This window comes from Homo sapiens, chromosome 3 (assembly GCF_000001405.40).
Source record: "Homo sapiens chromosome 3, GRCh38.p14 Primary Assembly".
NCBI classification, from domain to species: domain Eukaryota; kingdom Metazoa; phylum Chordata; class Mammalia; order Primates; family Hominidae; genus Homo; species Homo sapiens.
In genome coordinates this window covers 52016062-52030655 of record NC_000003.12, presented here as the reverse complement: position 1 = coordinate 52030655, position 14594 = coordinate 52016062, and the positions used below count along the sequence as shown (strand labels likewise).

At 55.6% G+C, this 14594-nt stretch overlaps 4 annotated features.

Annotated features, from left to right (window-relative positions):
* Positions 1209–1503: a silencer, noted in NCBI's record as "tiled region #12856; HepG2 Repressive non-DNase unmatched - State 4:PromP, and K562 Repressive DNase matched - State 8:EnhW". NCBI's record gives its function as "represses a minimal TATA promoter and a strong SV40 promoter by Sharpr-MPRA in HepG2 and K562 cells {active_cell/tissue: HepG2 | K562}" and the evidence as "EXISTENCE:reporter gene assay evidence [ECO:0000049][PMID:27701403]".
* Positions 6347–6726: an enhancer, noted in NCBI's record as "active region_19925". NCBI's record gives its function as "activates an Ori minimal core promoter by ATAC-STARR-seq in GM12878 lymphoblastoid cells {active_cell/tissue: GM12878}" and the evidence as "EXISTENCE:reporter gene assay evidence [ECO:0000049][PMID:35858748]".
* Positions 10399–11161: an enhancer, noted in NCBI's record as "H3K4me1 hESC enhancer chr3:52053511-52054273 (GRCh37/hg19 assembly coordinates)". NCBI's record gives its function as "activates a minimal SCP1, AML or CMV promoter by ChIP-STARR-seq in naive H9 embryonic stem cells {active_cell/tissue: H9 hESC(naive)}" and the evidence as "EXISTENCE:reporter gene assay evidence [ECO:0000049][PMID:30033119]".
* Positions 11162–11924: an enhancer, noted in NCBI's record as "H3K4me1 hESC enhancer chr3:52052748-52053510 (GRCh37/hg19 assembly coordinates)". NCBI's record gives its function as "activates a minimal SCP1, AML or CMV promoter by ChIP-STARR-seq in naive H9 embryonic stem cells {active_cell/tissue: H9 hESC(naive)}" and the evidence as "EXISTENCE:reporter gene assay evidence [ECO:0000049][PMID:30033119]".

The following is a 14594-nucleotide window of genomic DNA, read 5'->3' as shown; positions in this document are numbered from 1 at the left end:
CCCAGGCTAAAGCGGACCCAGAAGCTCCTCAATGCTGATCATGGCCAGAAAGGTCCCAGGCCCCTTAAAGGCCCCCATTCCTCCACTGCCTGCCAGATGAATTCCAAGGCTCTGCAAGGTGCCCCTTCCCACCATTCATCTGGAAAATACTTTCCAGAAAAGCTCCCAACTGCTTCTGGGTTATGTCCACTGCCCTGGACATTGGGGCAGAGAAGAAAGCCAGGGTTCATCCCCAAGACTGGCCCTAGCCTCCTTCAATACCTGAACACTCCAGCCCTTAGAGGCCCTGACAGCAAGGACTGCAGAAGTCTCCACCACAGGGCAATGATGAGTCTGACTCCCAGTCCAGGCTGAGGGGCTCCTCACTCCTTCACCCTCCTCCTCCCTGTCTCTGTGATCCAAGGCCTGGGCTCTTCTTGACTCCCACAGGTGGCACTGTCATTGATGGTTCTTCCTGAGAGTCCAACAGATGATGGACAGATGTGTCCCAGGGAGCTGTCAGGACCAGTGTGTGAGGCCCTAAAGATGGGCCAGACCAACCTCAGGGGCTCAGAAAGGGGAAATGTTGTATTATTTGTTCCCATGTATTTGCTCAGTATTGAGTTATTAATCTGTTCAGAAAGATTTATTGAGTCTTACTCGATAAATAAGAGGTGGGGTGGCCAGATCAGCCCAGGGTCTTCTGACAGTTTGGGGGTGACAGCTTTTAGCCGTTTTCTCCCTGGGGATTTGTTATGGCCTCTGCTGGGCACCCGAGGCCCCTCTGGGCAGACAGTGCTGTTCACGGGTCAGCTGAGGCTCTGAATGCAGCTCTAAGAGGCCTGCGTTCAAACTTCACTTTCTAGTGGTGTGACCTTGAGCTGGTGACCTCACCTCTCTGGGCATTGTCTCCATCTAGAAAAGGAGGACCTGGTCCACAGGGCAGCAGGAACAGGACAGGGGCCACGCACCGCAGACACGTGGGGACACACACAATAAATGCCCAGTGGTGCAGCGCCATGTGGCTTCCTACCCGTCCAATGCTCGGGAGGCTGAGGGTGGGGTCAGGACCCTGTGCCTGCTCCCTCGGACCAGAGCAGACCAAAGCCACTTCCAGACCTCAGTTTCCCCATCTGTAAAGTCTGTAAATGAGTGAGACAGAACCATAATAGAGGCCCTGCCATGGCACAGAATATAAAGAGGAACCACACTCCATGCCGACTGCAGGTCCCGAGTAAGCTGTGCACAGAGGGCCTTAGGGTTTACTCCAAGATATGGCAACCAGATGTCTGTGGCCAGCAGGCATGGGGGCAGGATGTCAGATCCCAGGTCTAGGTGGCTTGAGAGCGGGGCCGTGAGCTGCCTTTGAGTGACCCCAGGTTATCTCCTCCAGACAGCTCCTTCCACCAGCTCTGCCCTCTGGCTACCGCTTATCTCCCTGATAGATGGTCCCACTGTCCCGGCAGAGGAAGAGCTGCCTGTGTCCTTCAGAGCCCTGCCTGCCTGCACAGGGCACAGCTGGGTGCAGCCTTGGGCTGAGGCACGTCAGCACGGCCGCTGAAGATCCCGGGCCACTGACCCAAAGGTCTTGCCAGGTGGGGACAGAGGCTTGGCCCCAGGGAAGCTGGCCAGCTGCATCATATTCCTGGTTAGGGCCCTTAGGGACTTTGGTCTGATGGGGAGACTCAGTCCTGCCTTGAGTCTGAGGGGAAGGGGAGGCCTCGTTCCTCCCAGAGCACCCCCATCCCCTGCACACCCCCACCCAGCACACACACATCATGCAGCCTGGGTCATCGAGACACACTGAGCTGTGCCCTGGCAGCAGGGAGGGGCTGCTTTGAGCCGTGACTCGTACATGACCTCAGCAGGAGCTGGTTGTAGGCTGCATCCCATGGGCTGGTGGCGGAGGGGTGCCCTGCGGAAGGGGAAGGCATGAGCAGGGCAGGCTGCCAGCCTGTCTCCATGGGTCCTTCTGCCCAGACCTGCTATCGCAGCTGCTTGAATGCTGGCCGCAGATGGCGTGGGCGACGGCCCAGGCCCCCAGCAGAGGGACAGGAGGTTCTAGGGCCCCAGGCTGGCCCAAGCCTCTCAGGGCCCTGCGGGACAGGATCAGTCTGTACTGCATTGTAGATGGCAGCTATGCCCAGAGATCGCACCTTCCATGGGAGAAAATGTGTTCCCTTCCCTTTGGTCAGGTCCATTGAGCCTCCTGGCTTCAGCCTGATGGGCAAAGGCAGGGTCTATCTGTCCACAACCTCAGTGCCACCCCGGCACAGAGTTGGCACTGAAGAAATGGCTGTCGATGCCTGGGCGCGGTGGCTCACGCCTGTAATCCCAGCACTTTGGGAGGCCGAGGCAGGCAGATCACGAGGTCAGGAGATCGAGACCGTCCTGGCTAACTAACATGGTGAAACCCCATCTCTACTAAAAATACAAAAAATTAGCTGGGTGTGGTGGCTGGCCCCTGTAGTGCCAGATACTCGGGAGGCTGAGGCAGGAGAATGGCATGAACCCGGGAGGCGGAGCTTGCAGTGAGCTGCGATCACACCACTGCACTCCAGCCTGGGCGACAGAGCGAGACTCCATCTCAAAAAAGAAAAGAAAGAAAGAAAGAAAGAAAGAGAGAGAGAGAGAGAGAGAGAAAGAAAGAAAGAAAGAAAGAAAGAAAGAGAAAGAAAGAAAGAAAGAGAGAGAAAGAGAGAGAGAGAGAGAGAGAGAGAAAGAGAGAGAGAGAGAGAGGGAGAAAGAAAGAGAGAAAGAAAGAAAGAGAAATGGCTGTCAATGAGTGAACCTTGGCTACACCTGCTTTGATACTTTCAAACACATTTAAATTCTTACATTCGAATGTGTTTCATTGAAAAAATTTCCTCACTCGTTCGGCGCCCAGGTGGCTCCCAACACATGGTCAGTGTTACTACTGCTGTGGTTAGCTTCCCGGCTGCCTGGGAACCAGCCACTGCCAGTGACATTGGGGCTGGCTCAGGGATGGTTACATTTTATGATTGAGAGTAGCCATCTTTGTGACATCCTCAGCATGAGGGTATGGACGTGCATTTTCTTTCTTTCTTTTTTTTTTTTTGGAAATGGAGTCCCACTCTGTCACCCAGGCTGGAGTGCAGTGGTGCCATCTTGGCTCACTGCAATCTCCGCCTCCTGGGTTCAAGCAATTCTCCTGCCTCAGCCTCCTGAGTAGCTGGGACTACAGGTGCACGCCGCCACGCCCGGCTAATTTTTTGTATTTTAGTAGAGACAGGATTTCACCATGTTGCCCAGGATGGTCTCGAACTCCTGAGCTCAGGCATTCCACCCGCCTCGGCCTCCCAAAGTGCTGGGATTACAGGCATGAGCCACCGTACCCAGCCTCGACGTGCATTTTCAATGCTATTGGCCTGATATCCTGACCTTAAATTTCTACTAGCGGAAACACTGGTTTTTATATTTATTTATTTATTTATTTTTGTCATTTCAAACAAATTTATTTCCTTGCTTCATGAGAAAGAGCATTCTAAAAGCAGTGTAGCCAGCATACAATCACAATGCTGCAGAACATTGAATAAGCTTTTAAAAAATCACAGGGCAGAGAATGGGATGGTAAATTGTTAAAATCTGGAAAGAGACTCCAACAAAGTAGGAATCCAATTTGGTTCCCACAGTGGGGTAATCAGCTTAGGAAGTCCATTCATGATGTTAACTACAACAATGGAATGGAAACATTTCAGTTGATACTAGATAGGTTTTTATATTTATTTACTCCACACTGGACACACACACACACATATATATATATATATATATATATATATATATATATATATATATATATTTTTTTTTTTTTTTTTTTTTTTGAAATGGAGTCTCACTCTGTCGCCCAAGCTGGAGTGCAGTAGTGCATCTCAACTCACTGCAGCTTCCGCCTCTGGGGTTCAAGTCACTCTCCCACCTCATTCTCCCAAGAAGCCGGGATTACAGGTGCGCACCACCATGCCCGACTACTTTTTGTGAGTTTGGTAGAGACAGGGTTTCACCACGTTGGCCAGGCTGGTCTCGAAATCCTGACGTCAGGTGATCCACCCACCTCAGCCTCCCAAAGTGCTGGGATTACAGGTGTGAGTCACCGTGCCTGGCTTGAACATATATTGATTAAGCATCTGCTCCAGGGCTCATCCAGGGGGTGAGGTGATGGGATAGAGCAGTGACCAAGAGAACACAGCCTGCTTTTTGTAGTGGGTGCAGACACCAATCGAATAAGCATACAGTTAAGGTTCTCACTGCAGATTCCATGAGGAGCAGAGCAAGGGGCTACAGGAGCAGATGCCATGACAGCTGTCATAGTCTGGGGGCTGAGCAAGCTGCCCTGGGAGAGGGCTGGGATCTGAAGAGTAAGTAGGAGTTAGCAGGTGAAAAGGACAGAGAACATATTCCAGGCAGAGAGAAAAACCTGGGCAAGGGCCAGATGGCTAGAGGGACCATGAAAACCCGAGAGCATTTGGGGCAGCTGGAGTGGAGGGAGGGAGTCGAGTTCCAGGGAGGAGGCTGGAGTGTGGGTGGGATCAGGGGCACACAGGGCCTCATAGGTCCAGCACTGGGGAGCCGTGACAGGCCATGCAGAAGGAGCAGGAGGTCAGGGGTGATTTTGAGAGGTCCTTCTCTGGCTGCTGGGTGGAAGGTGGCTTCGGTAGGATTTTACTCCCAAAAGTCTGGAGTTGATTTTGCTGGTGTGGCCAGGGCTGCAGGTTTTGTACTGTTCCCTGTGGTCTCCCCATGCCTGTCTAGACCCAGGGCTCCTGGTCTAGGAGGGCAGGGTGTGGGTTCATGGCTAATTCATTTCTGAGGGCCTAGTGTCCATCACAGGGCCAGACACGTGGCAGGGGCCGAACAGATGTGTGCTGAGTGAGGGAGGTCACTAATGGGGTGCTCCACTTGTCTGTCAATGCCCATGAAATTGTCTGGCCCTGCCTCTACCCGCTGGCTTGTGTCCTCAACCTGGTCAGTCCAGGCAGGATGTGCAGGCTGACAGGCCAGGCATCCAGGAAACAGACTGTGTGCCTCTCCTCACGCGCACATGTTGGCAGCCAGCTGGGGAGGCTCTAGCCTGGAACCCACCTCAGCCATCTGGGGCCATATTCCCAGGACAGATCAGATGGGCAGCTAGTGTTATGCAGCCTGCAGAAGCCCAGGGCCCTACCCACGGAGTCCACCCTGACCCCAGACTCCATTCAGGCCGAGGCGGGAAAGATGAAAAGTTGGGGGCAGAGGGTGGGTAGAGGTTAGGATGCAGAAAACCTTGGCTGGGAGTTTGAGGGGAGAAGCACCTCACTCAAGAAGGACTGTCCAACAGCTGCAGCTGGGCAAATTTACCAGGCAGTTGGTAAGCAGTGAGCTCTGTGTCTGGAGAGGTATGCAAGTGAGATCAGGAGCTGGAGGATCTCCCAGTTCCTCTCTTCCACCCCGTTAGGAATATTCCCCACTAAGCATCCTCTGTCCTATTTGAGCCCTGAAAGCCATCCCTCTCCTGCCCCGGAGCAATCACTGTGGCTGCCACGGCTATGGGGCCTCCCCTCCCCACCTCACTTGTCTCTTCTGTAACACAGGGGTGGGTGAGCTCAGGGAGGTGTTTTCCTTTTATTTCTGCATGCAGCACCAAACAATAATTGCACTTATTCTCAACATCTAGAATAATTTTCTTCTAAAAGAAAACCACAAAAAGTCCCAAGTCAATTAGCAAAAACATAGGAAGCCACCTTCATTTCAGGTCACGTGAAATAAAACCCGTGTCCCATGTTTTCCTTGAAGTAAATTTAATTATTTCTCCAAAGGCCTGAGGCCATGTGGAAGGGGCCTAAGGGAGGCCAGTGTGAGAGATCCCAAGGAGCCCTCTGTTTGGGTCAGGCAATGGGTCCAGCCCTGCTTCTGCACAGCACCCCCCACCCCCTCACCCCTGCTCAAAGGCCTCCTCCCTGATGAAATGCAATCCTCCCAATGTGGCTGACTGACACTCCTCCCCACCCCCTAATCTGGACAAACCAATGTTTCCACCCACTTCTTGATGCCCACTCCCTCACTCTCTGCTCCTGGGATTTTCGTTCAATGCTCCTTCCTCCTATAATTGTCTTCCCCTCTCTTCCCCTCACCAAGAGCACATTCATTTTTTGGGGTCTCAGTTTATATGCCTCTTCCTCCAGGAAGCCCTCCCTAACCTCACCAGGCATTCCCACAGCCACCTGTGCACCTTCTCATTCTGTCCTGTACCTGGCACAGAGAATGTACCCAGAAAGTGTTTTTTGAATGAATGACTTCCCCCCGGAAAATGACCTCAGAACTCTGGGTTGGCCTTATCTGAACCATGCTGGCTCTAAGTTCGTTGTCAAACCCCAGAAGGGTACAGGCTTCCCCTGAGCCCTGGATGCTGGTCTGGGACCTGGGGATCCCTGAACTGAGGGGCAGGAGGGTGTGTGTGTCCTGAATTCTTTCTGAATGTGGTCCTGTGATCTGGGACTAGACCAACTGAGGGCCCTCTGTGAACAGGAAGCAGGAAGGAGAGCCGGGCCTCTGTTCTCCCACCCAGTCTCCAATTTAGAGGAAACGCAGCCTATAATTTGGAAGGCTAATTTGGTCTGGGGTTAGAAGGGAGCTCTCTGTGTGCCGAATGATGCCACGCTCTCCCAGGGGAGGAAGCATCCCCTCCCTGGGGACCTGGGGCCTCTGCTCTCAGTTCCAGGCCACACTGCTCCAGTGTGCTCCCTCCTGAGGCCTGAGCTGGGGCCCCTAGAGAGTCAGGCAGCCGGTCCTCAGCCAGGGGAGAAGGAGGGAGGGAGAAACCCAGGGCCACACTCCTTGGTCACTGACTGTCCGGTCCACTGACTGACTGGTGCTCCCGGCATCAGGAAGAACTAGTGGAGGGTCTCCAAGGACCAAGTCCACATGGTGAGCATTGCCCCAGGGTGCCCCTGGCCAGCAGGTCATGCCCATTCAGGCAGGAGCTCAGGAGAAATGTGGGCAAAATGGGCATTGTAATGACCTGGTCCAAGAAGCCTCACTCTCTAGCAACCCTGACCCCAATTCCTGCCACTCCCCGAGCTTAGGCACACTGAGTCATTTAAGGTCCTTCCCAGCATGATGGCCGCTGTCATGCTGCTTTTCCTCCTCCCCTGGGAAGTCCTCCATGTCCACCAGGCTGGTCAGGAACTACCTCCAGGCTCCTTGTCTAACAGGTACCTGGTTGCTTCCCCATTGGGATAGGGGCTCTGTGAGAGTGGGTTCCAGTTGTGGTCACCTTGGTGGTCAGAGCCCTGGCCAGGGCCTGGCTCAGCAGAGCTAGTGATGACGGACAGGCAGAGAGGCTGCACCACTCACAGATGTATGGCCTTGGGCAAGGCCTGGCACTTCCCTGGGCCTCAGTTTGCTTGTCTGTGGGCTAGGCACAGAGCAGTAGTTCAGTATTTGATGACTAAGTGAATGAATGCATGCATGCATGAATGAATGAATGAATGAATGAATGAATAAGGAGTTGGACTGGACAGTCTCCAAACCCTGGAGCTCAAATCCTCTACAGTTTCTCTCTCCTCATTTGAGTGCTAGTCTCTCTGCTCAGGCTTGTGTCAGCAAGGACTGGGGAGGGGAGAGGTCCTGGGGTCAGTCAGGGCAGACAGGAGCTGCAGGGAAGCTGAACGCTGGGATAGGGTGTCGGGTGACAGGGTCTGGGGAGAGGCGGGGCAAAAGACTCTTCAGGGTGAGGGGTGAAGGTGCCCATCCCTGGACCTGGTGTTCCAGGACCCCAGCCTGCCTGCGGCAGCGCGCCATCCCCACGACACACCACCCCAACTCACCCACAACCCAGTGGCTTCTCTTGAAACTTCTGCTCGGCTCCAACAGTCTGTCACTGGGGCTGGTGATTCACACACTCCGCTCTTCTTTCCTCTTCCCAACTAATTATAGCTCCTGCGTGTTTTTCCCCCTGGAAAAATGTCTTCTTAAAAAAAATATATCCCCAAGCCAGTGAAAATTAATTGGGTGAGCATCACTGTGTACAATTCAGACTGGCTCCGAAGACAGGCAGGTCCCAGGTTGTGGGGGCGTCTACTGCCCAGCAGAGGAAGGACGGGCGTGGGACGCAGGGTGCACATGGGGACAAGCAGCAGAGGCTCCACCCAGCCCCCATCCGACTGGCCATGGCTCTGGGGATCCTGAAGAATAACCGCCACAGTGATGGTAACGGGGACTCTACTGAGCGCCACAGCATGCTGGGCACAGTGCCAGATGCCTGCCATGTGCATTGACATTTAACCTTCTGATGCCTGCTGAAGCTGGCCTTGGAATTGGTTCCACTCTGTCGAAGAGGAAACTGAGGCTCAGAAACTCATCCAGGGTCACACAGCCATAGTGGGGGCGTTGGGGGTGACCATGAGCCATGTGGTGCTGGGAGTTGGGAGCCAGGGTGGGGGGGCATGGCCAATGGCCTGACCAAGGGGAGGCCCAGCATCATTAGGCTCCCCAAGGGACAAGCAGAGCAGGCACGCGGCCCTCTGTCTCGTCTCTCCCTCGCTTGCCTCCTGGGAATCACAGGAGCTCCCCTGGCACTGGGCCAGAGCTGAGACTACAAGTCCCCTAAGCTCTTCATGGGGCCCAGTGCGTGGCAGTTGGAGCAGATGTCTGAGCAGGCATCCTGGCCAGGCAGGGAGGGTTCCAGAGTCACAATGACAAAGAGGTGGAGATAATCAGAGACAGGACAAGAGAGAGCCAAGCAGAGCTAGAGAGGGGACAGGGAGTCACCAGTCCAACTGCAGAGGCAGAGAGGCAGAATGGAGACTGAACCAGAGACACAGCCGGGTCTGAGTCTGAAACCAAGGGACAAAGATAAAACCCAGGGAAACAAGATGGAGAGACACAAGGGAGAACCAGAGGGCTGCTGTGTAGGAGACAGCCTGGAGAGAGGCAGCACCGAGAAAAGAACAGGAAAAGGAAGGTGGAGGCCCACGGCCTCAGGCCAGGCCTTGCTGGGGAGGGTTCCTAAGAGCAGGGGCAGGCAGGGGTGCTCCAGGCCTGCTTTGGGCGTTGGGAACATGGTTCCTCCCAGCCTGTATCAATCTAGGAAGACTGCCTGGAGAGTGGCCCCAGAGCAGGAGAGCATGTGGATGTTAGGACATTAGGAGAACCGAAGGCATGGGGGGCAAGGGAGCAGGTAGGAGGTGGCAGCCACCCTGGGCCCATCCCGGGAGAGGCTCCTTTGGAACCCGGTCTCTGAGGGTGGCCAGTCTCTCCCTACCCCAGCTCAAAGGCAAGGACCCTCCCCAGGGGCTGAGGAAAATCCAGGCAGAGTTAGGCCAGCTCATTTCCTGGATGGAGAAGTGAAGTCAGTCTGAGACAACCCCTCAGCACCCCAGTCCCCACCAGCCATTAGGAAATAAACCCCCTCTACCAGCTCCAAAGGCCAGGGGCCTGTCTCCCTCCTTACATTCCTAAGCTAGAGCCAGGTCTCCTTCAGCCTACATCCTTTAGCCTTCCCAGAACCCTTAGGGCAGAAGCTGCCTCTACCCTTACCTCCAGGCCAGGCCAGAGACTGTCTCTCTCCAGGCCAGGGCAGGACCCCTCTCCCAGACCCCTACCCCACTCTGCCTTGGCAACCCAGAAGGTGTTGACGGCCTCGCTAACCACAGGCAGACTGCCCTGGCTCCAGCCATCACCTCCCCCAACTTCTCTGGACCCCTGACACGGCCGCTGGCTGCCCGGGGTCAGGGCTTGGTACCCAGGATCTATTAGCCAGGCAGCTGTCGGGATTTCCAGCACGGGGGGACCTCTGGGGCTGACACCTCTGTCAGCCACTCTCTTGTCTGGAATCTGCTGGCCAAGTCTGCACTCTTCTGGGGTCTATGTCTGGACCCTAGAGCATCTGCCATGAGAAAAAAGGACACAGCAGGAAACAGGTGGCCTTGGGTGGCCTTGAGGCCAGAAGACCAGCACAGGCCTTGAGGATGTGCCCTTGAGCCCCAGGAATGGAGAAAGAAGTGGCCAATGGGTCCAGGCAGGAGGGTTGGTCAATGCAGAAGGGCACCCGTGCAGCCTCCTCATTCTTGGTCCATGCCCCTCAGTGGGCCCGGACACTGTGATGACCAGGACATTGGGATGGAAACACCTTTTTCGTGGGCCCCCGGCTAACACACCAGGAAATCTCCTTTTCCAATAACCCATAACAGGAGGCAACACAGGATAGGGTCTGGAGTCAGGCAGCCTGGCTCCTTCCAGCTCAAGCTCTGGGGAGATGACTGAGCCTCAATTTTGTTATCTGTAAAATGGTGCTGCCAGTAATTCCCTTCTCAGACAATGCTGTGGATAAACAAGATTTTGCACATGAAACAGAAACATAAGTGGCCATGCTTTAGGCAGCCCAGCTCCTACCAGAGGCTCCAAACGTCTCCCTGGAGCCCCCTTTTTTCCTCTAGGCCCCTCCTGGCAGGAGGTGACAGGCAGTCCTCAGTCTCCAGCCCCACTGCAGCCTGGGGAGGCCCAAACGAAGACCTGAGGGAAAGGAGAAAGTCCGGATGGGGGCAAGGAGCCAGGAGACCTTGGTGTGGTCCCCTCCTGGAACGGGCCACTGGCAAGCCCCCTCCCTCTCGGGTTTCTGAGCAATGGGGATTGGACTGGATGAGTGCCTTCCTGCTCCCAACTGGAATCCTCAGCCACCCGCTTCTCTCTGCCCCTCCACTCTGGCCCCGTCCCCTTCCAAGCCAGCCTGGCCTTTGGCCTTAGCTCCTCTGACAAGAAGAGAGGGAGGAGGGCTTGCCTGCCCCCATGGGAAACCATTTTTAGCTCCCTGAGGAACTCGGCGTCCTCCCAGCAAGGGTGCGTGGGTCGTAGCTGGGTATTAATAGCTCAGCTGGAGGAGGTGACCGGGACTTTGACAGCCAAACCCTGGAGGCCTCCCATGCTGGGCAGCAGAGCAATCCCCCTGTCGTCCACCCCTCCCTTGCTGGCTCTGAACTCCACCACTGCTGTCCCCCAGGGGTGCTCTCCTCCTCCAGCCCCCACCCCTCTGCCCCTCACACAGGACTGGTTTCCCCCTTGGTTGAATCTTCCTGTGGTCCCCTGGGGAGGGGAGACCTCTTGCCCCAGTTGTGGGTTGGTGCCTGAGGCCGGTTTGTGACCAGGCCCCGTGGGAGGTGAGAACAGAGAAGCCTGTGATAAGGCTTCCCCCTCGCACCCTTTTCCGCTGCCCGCTGGCCTCTCATTCCTGCTTGCTTACTCCACCCTGGCTCCTCCACTGGCCGCCATGTGGGCTGGTCCCCAAATGTCTCTCCACGCTGGGCCCAGAATGGAGAAGAGGCGGGAAAACCCAGCTGGCCGAATGGAGGCCTGGAAAAGATTCCCTGGACAGTACTGCCTGTCCCCTGCTCAGGTGGGACATATGAGGCCTGAACAGGCCGCAGGGCTACCTCTTGGAGGTAGCCTGGGAAGTGATGGGGCCCTGGGCTGTGACTGGGGACCTACAGCCTTGGCTCAGCCCCGTCCCTGAGGCCCCCATGCCGTGGAGGTAGGGAAGGGGCACGAACCCACGCTAGGTGTCTCACACACCCGCCTCAAACACTCATCCGCACTTAATATCTCAGCTACCCCTGGTCCCTCGAGGCTACAGCCTTGAGGGTAGAAATCGGCAACCCAGAGGGAGCGTGATCGACGTGAAGGTGGGTGCTGTGATCACCCACATTTCAGAGATGAGCAGCCAAGTTTTCAGGGGAAGCACACCCTGGGAGCAGGCAGGCAGCCGGGGCTGGAGGCCTTCGGGAACAAGATTCGGTCCAAGCCCTTTGCTTTCTTTCTAGAGTCACGGTCTTGCTCTGTCATCCAGGCTGGAGTGCAGTGGCACTGTCATAGTTCACTGTAACCTCAAACTTCTGGGCTCCGGCGATCCTCCTGCCTCAGCTTCCTGAGTAGCTGGGACTGCAGGCGCGTGCCACCGCACCTGGCTACCACCCTGTGCGTGGTCATGTCCAAGCCCTAGACGCCCATTTTTCAGGCATCTCTTTGTTACCAGTCCTGCTCTGAGTCGTCTCCAGAAAATAGGAAGGCTTCTGGGTCTTTGGGGACCTCTTCCTCAGGCAGTCGTGGCCTTTGGGACTAGCCTGAGTCCTGACGAGGATGAAGGTCCAAGCTCAGTTTGGGGTCGGAGTCAGGGTCAAAGGTCAGTTTGCGGTGAACAGTGAACCCGGCCCTCTAACTCCTAACTCCAAGCTGAGTCTGGACCTCTGACTGCTAGACAAGACTGAAGCCCAAACCTTTGGGCCCCAACTCTAGTTTCTTTTTTTTTTGAGACGGAGTTTCGCTCTTGTCGCCCAGGCTGGAGTGCAATAACACGATCTTGGGTCACCACAACCTTCGCCTCCCGTGTTCAAGCGATTCTCCTGCCTCAGCCTCCTGAGTAGCTGGGATTGCAGACACGCGCCACCACGCCTGGCTAATTTTTTGTATTTTTAGTAGAGATGGGGTTTCTCCATGTTGGTCAGGCTGGTCTCGAACTCCTGACCTCAGGTGATCCACCCGCCTCAGCCTCCCAAAGTGCTGGGATTACAGGCGTGAGCCACCGTGCCCAGCTAGTTTCTAAAGTCTCAACCCTTAGGCCCAGGATGAATCTGGGCCATCAACCTCTGACTCCCAACCCAGGCTGAGCCCCCAACCCGGCCCCAGGCCTAGGGAATACTGGTCCCCACTTGCCTTCTGAGGCTGTGTCCTGGGCTCACCCGGCTCTTCACCTCTAAATCTCAACCTGGAGGTGGCCCTGCGTGCTCCTCACACTCCCTCCTCAGCCACCCCCGCCCTGAGTCTTGAAGCAGGCTGACACAGGGACACATCACACCAGGCGATGTATGACTTGGAGGAGCAGAGGCTGGAAACATATGCTATTTCTGGGCTGGATCTTATTGGTTTGGACCGTGAGCAAAGCAGAGCCCACAGCAGAGGGAAGGGAAACAGGCAGACGGGCCCTCAAACACACAGACACCACACTGCGTGGCGGGATGCAGGGGTCCTTGGGTGACCTGGCACTAGAACCACGCTTCCCTGGGACAGAGAGGCCAGCGTCCACACCCCGACTTGGAGGAAACAAGTTTAGATAAATGTGACACACACATCCCCAACCCTGCAGCTAGTTTTTTTTCTAAGGAACCCATATTCCCGGTGGCTCAGAGTGGAAACTGGATCCAAGTCCCGGCTCTTCCTATAAGCTCTGAGACCTGAGGCAAGCTGCTCAGCCTTAGCCTGGAATAGCCTCAGCATCCTCATCTGGGAAATGGGACTGTGATGTTATCTTCCTTTTGGGGTTTTATGAAGACAAAACACAACCATAGAGACGGATTTCCTGCACAAGGCAAGAGCTCACAAAGGGGCAGCTACCAATATTTTCCCAGTGACCAAAGGCAAGCTGCTTCAGTTGTGGGGTCAGGTATCCCTTCACCCCTCACTTCCGCCTCTACCCAAGAACTCCTGGGGGACACATTTTGGAAACCCTTAACTTAGATTCTAGGCCAGCAGCAGGACCAAAAGTAGCGTTAGCTGACAATTACAGAAGCCGGAACAGCATGGAATTTGTCAGCATGGAATTAGGTCACAAAATTCTTAAAACAGAAGAGCCACAGAAGCCCAAAAGGCTCAACATCCTAGGATGCAGACCTCCCCTGATTTCCTGGGCTGAAAATGGCGAGAATTGACCAAGACAAAACGAGCTCTTGCCTCGGACAGGAGCGTGGGGACTCCGGGCTCTTTCACTACATGTCCCAGAGCACCCAGGGAGGGGGAGGGCTCCACCATGGTCTCCGAATCCCCTCATTTCCTGGTGATTGCCTGCTTCCCCTCCTCCTCCAGCTCAGATGCCCTGGATGTCCAGCCATTTCTAGAGCACCCCCAGCCTGGTCTGGCCACCTCTACTGACCCCTCCTAAGACTCCCCACCCAGGTGCTGAGGTCCCCTGGGGTGAATCCCAGGGAGCTGTCCCTGCTGCCCTCAGCCTCCAGGGCCCTGCAGAGTGGGCTCCTGACATGTTGGTGACCTCAGGCTCTATCCCCTCTGTCCTCTTGCTCCTCACAAGTAGAGTCAGGACAGGAATTGGCACTGTTGGAAGGTGAGTGCCCACCCACGTGCGGGGCACCTACTGGGCTTTACGTCCATCATCTCTGATCCAGGAATCCCAGGGCCAGATTGGGGCTTGACATACCCAAGTCCACATGGCTGGGAGGTGGCAAGGGAGTTTGGCGTTTGACCTAAAGCTGCTGTCCTGAAAAGGGAGCTGTGAAGAGAGGTCCCAGCTGTCGGACGGGCTACCCCTCAACAGGCAGCAGCAGAGCCCAGCAGCCTGTCCATGCTGCACCCCGATTTCTCGGGGAGAGGCCCAGCCTCCACCATGGCTGGCTGAGCCCTGCCCCCCGGTGCCAGTCCCACATGACCTTTCCAGGTGGCTAATGAGAACCTGGGCACCACTCAGTAATTGGCCTCATTAGGTACCTAGGGCTGCCCAGGGGATGGGGTGGCGGATGCTGGGCCCCGTGGGGACTGGCCAGACAGCCGCCTGTTAATTACCTGAAAAATCAGACAATTAGGCTTCCTGCCACCTGCCTGCCCACGTCCTGCTGGCC